This window comes from Homo sapiens, chromosome 3, assembly GCF_000001405.40.
Source record: "Homo sapiens chromosome 3, GRCh38.p14 Primary Assembly".
Classification (NCBI taxonomy): Eukaryota; Metazoa; Chordata; class Mammalia; order Primates; family Hominidae; genus Homo; species Homo sapiens.
In genome coordinates this window covers 166809204-166813594 of record NC_000003.12, presented here as the reverse complement: position 1 = coordinate 166813594, position 4391 = coordinate 166809204, and the positions used below count along the sequence as shown (strand labels likewise).

General features: G+C 37.1%; 1 pseudogene; it reads right to left on the bottom strand.

The window, feature by feature from the left end:
• On the bottom strand, window positions 852-2766 carry CBX1P5 (chromobox 1 pseudogene 5; annotated as a pseudogene).

Here is a 4391-nt window from a genome sequence, read left to right as displayed (position 1 = left end):
CACCTCAGCACAGGTATAAATAGCTTCTTTATTGCATGGAAACTTTACTAACTTTTCTATTTTAACATACATCATGTTTACTATAATTTTAATGTCATCGTCACAAAGAAAACACGGGCTTCTTGGGGGCGGGAACAATAAAGCATTCACTGATGTTTTCAGTAAAAAACTGTAATGGATAAAGCCAAGTAAGCTTAGCAAATATTTATTGACTCTTATTATGATCTTCTTCCTCTTACTGCTTCCTTGTAAACAGTTTTCCTCCTCTTTCTTTGTCCTTCCTCCCAATATTTAGTACTAAAGCTTATAGCCTTATACATGTTTATTATATCTGTCAGAGTTCATCTCTTTTCATAGCTATAGCTGCTACCTCGAAAGCATAGACCCATGTATTTAGCCTGTCCTCTCAATTGCATCCTGTCTCATATTAAGCTTGTCACGGAAGGATTCCATATCTGTCTGATGCATTTCCCCTGTTTTCTTCACTGCTTTTGCTTCCTAAAATCTGGTCTACTGGTATAACCACTTTTTAATTTGTGTTCTTCACTTCAGTACCTTTTCCTTCAGTCTATCTTTATTGTTTGTGTATTTGGAGATTAAAGAACTGATTTTATTAAGATAAAAACTGACAGCATGCATGGTATGAAGTTTATAATAAAACAAGGTTTTCACAGAAACCTAACAAATGACTAAAAAGATTTCACAATGTAGTACTAGATTCAGGTCTAGACAATGTCAAGAGCTTGTTGTTCTCATGATTCAAGACAGAGCACTTTAGGTATCAGTTAATTCTTAGAATATTTTTAAAAAATGTTTTTCTGTTGAGGGGTGTGTGTGTGTGTGTGTGTGTGTGTGTGTGTGTGTGTGTGTTTTAAAGTGAACCAGTAACCCAGTATGAAAGTTTAAACTTCTCTTGAGGACAGAACTTTTGAAATTATTCAACCTTTGAGTAGATTTAATGAAAATTGTGCTGTCTGTGGCTGACCCCTTCCACCAGTGGTTTCAGAGTTTGAAACTCAAAAAAAAAAAAACAGAGACACTTCAAGAATTCTAACAATGTGGGTCTTTTCCTTTTCCTACTCTTCCATCTACTATGCCACCTTCTTCCCCTCCCCAAATACCTCAGCCAGTGCATTCTATGAACAAGCTGATATTTGTAACTTCATAATTAAAAAATCAAGGGTCTTCTTGTCTAATTTCAAGAATTAACACCTCTGATACAGAATGATATGCCTGTTTATACTCTCCAAGAAAAGACTTTCCTCTTCAGTCAGTTACCATCTTCAAAATGGCAGCTTTGGAACTTATGAAATGGTCTTTGTGGAGAAGAGCATTAAGCTCAGGCAGGGAACACCTTCACTTATAGATTTCACGTATTTACAACATCTAAACAGTCTATTATAGTCCTCATTTATGGTGTCAATGTCATTTTTTGAAAAGGTAAAATATTGTGAGCATAGAAGCAAGTAGTTAGTTACCTGTTCTTTCCACTGTTTTATCATTTCCTGAATCAGGCCCCAAATTTTAACCCAAATGAACCTGTCCATCTCCCTTCCTCCCTCCACATCCCTCCCACCCCCAAATAATACACCAGTAATAGCCAACAACTACAGACATGCTATGCTGTAAAAAATGCATAGTTAACACTACTGGGAAGAGGACTGTGGATTGTAGAGAGGCTCTTTGAAGATCTACAGTATCTTTTTTGCTCTCCCACACATCCAAATCCGCAGATTTTGTTCGTCATTGAAGACCCGTTGTTTTTCTCAGCAAAGTTTAAAACCGGTTGCCTTGAAACATTTATCCCCTTCCCCTTCCATATGTGCACACTATATAGCTCCAAAGGACGTTAAAGCACTTGGGTTGCTGCAGGACACAGAAAACTATACTTGCTCTTCAAAGAACATCGTCTCAAGCCACTTCTATGGTGTCAAGACAAGTAGAACTCTTGCCCTTCCCTCTTGAAACCCACAGTCAGATGTCACAGAAGCTGGTACTCAGAAGAATTAATTCTTGTCATCATTCTTGTTATCATCCTCTGAGGGGTAGAAATACCACACTGGCCTTTCCTCACATAAGGATATGTCAATCTGTGAGCACTTGACATTGGCTTCCTTGGCAGAAGCCAGGTCAGCCTCATTAGAGGCTTTCCATTTCATCAGGAACATGGGCTCTCTCTCCACTGGAGTCGGTAGCTCCAATAATCCTCTGTGACTCAAAACCCAGGGCAAAGCCCCTCTTGGCTTTTCTGACGACTTCTTCTTCTTAGGTTTGACCTCCTCTCCCTTACCTCCAGAATCGGAAACAGCTTTGTGCTTGCCTCCCTCTGACTCATCTGTCTCGGGCTGTTTTCTGTGACTGCAGAAACTCAGCAATGACGTTCTCATCTGGCTCCCCCTGTGTTTGTCGTCCTCATCTGCGAAACCCTTCCACTTTAGCGGCTATTCCACTTTACCCTTCACCGCACAACAGTGGAGAACTTCTTCCACCACACACTCCTTTTCCTCATTCGGCACCTCTACCACAGTTTTTTCTTGTTTAAATTTTTCCACATGGTGCCTGCCAGCTTTCTGGTGACGCTGAAAGGGTGACGCTGCTCAGAGCAGCACCCAAGAGCCAGAGAAGAATCGGTGCCGTGCTGCTGGCTTGGCGTGCGGCTCGCTGGGGACTGGCGCCCAGGAAAGCAACAAGCCTGGTGGTTGCGGTGGAGCCCTTCACTGAGGCGGTGAACCGCAGGCCCTGGACAACCGCTGTCTCCTCTTCCGAGCCCCTTTCATCTATCTTTTATCCTAACAAAAACATTTTTATCTAAAATATATAATACCCCTGCTCTTTCATAGCACCATAGGGTGACTATCGTCAATGATGATCGTATATTTTAAAATAACTTAAGGAATAAAACTGGATTACTTGTAACTCAAAGGATAAATGCTTGCGGGAATGGATACCCCATTCTCCATGATGTGCTTATTTCACATTGCATGCCTGTATCAAAACATCTCATGTACCCCATGTATATATTTCTCATGTACCCCATGTAAATATATATACCCACTATGTACCCACAAAAATAATCAAGTATTCAAAATAAAAAATAAAGTACATATTAATTTATATCACTCTTCTGTTTCAAAAATCTCCCACATACAGCCCTTTGATATCCACTATGAAACTTAAGCCACATTTCCTTACTCATTTCTCGAAACTTTCCACACTCTATAATTCACTATTTTCTAAATATTGCCATGGGATTCTTTAGCTTGATGTATTTTATTATGATTTATTTTCTATATAAAAAAAATTCTCTCATCTATTAGTCATTTTTAAACAACTAGCTTAAATATGAAGACTTTTCTGCAGTTGGATTTAATCTTATGTTTTTGGAAATCATATTTTATTTGAACTTCACATCATACCTTGAAAATAATCATTTATGTAAATATTTATCTTTTTTACTATACTGTAATCTTCCAAAAGACAGATAAGAGAGTGCTCGGTTTAGTGGAACATTTGTCCAGTATGAGTGATGGTAATGTTCTCCAGCCACATCTTTCTCTCCTGACTGAATCTCTCTATCACATTGAAAAGGACCAGGAAGACTTTTATCTCTGAACCCTCTAGACTTATGACATTAAAAAGCATGAACCTAGCTTATAGTTCTATGATTTTACCAATTCTTGATAAGCAGTCAGCGACGGTAATACAATTAACAAAGTAAATGTTACTAGCAGAGTAACATTTAGTTGCATTTCACATCATCTTATTTCTTCTTTTTTTTTTTTGTTTCTTGTTGGTGTTGTGCTACTTATCTTTGTTGACTTAACCAGGAAACTCATGCATGATAGCAAACATGTTCTTACCTCTTATTGTCTCCTGACAGATACTACTGATAATACCCAATGGAGTTCTGTAAACACAATATAATCTGACTAGGTAATTGGGTTTTTGTTTGTTTTTTGTTTTTTTTTTATCCCTTTGATTCTTGTCAATATGTTACACTTAAAACTGTTATACGGACATTTCTAGTTCTTTAATCCACGTATAAATTCAGTAAATGTTCTGCCACAATTAAATATACTAGATGCTTAGATGAGCATATTCTTATTTTATCATTTATACAGTATTTTAAATTACTTTATCTGCTTTTTAAAAACAATTGTGCTATTAACTTTTTCTTTCTTTTCACTCAGATTTCATCAACACGTTGGAAATACAACACATTTGCAAATAAGTTGTGATAAATAAAAATACTTATAATGTGGCTGGAGTTTTTATTTTTATTTTTTAATTTTTATGGGTACATTGTAGGTATAAATATTTATGGGGTACATGAGATATTTTGATACAGGCATACAATGCATAGTAATCACATCAGGATAAATAAAGAATCT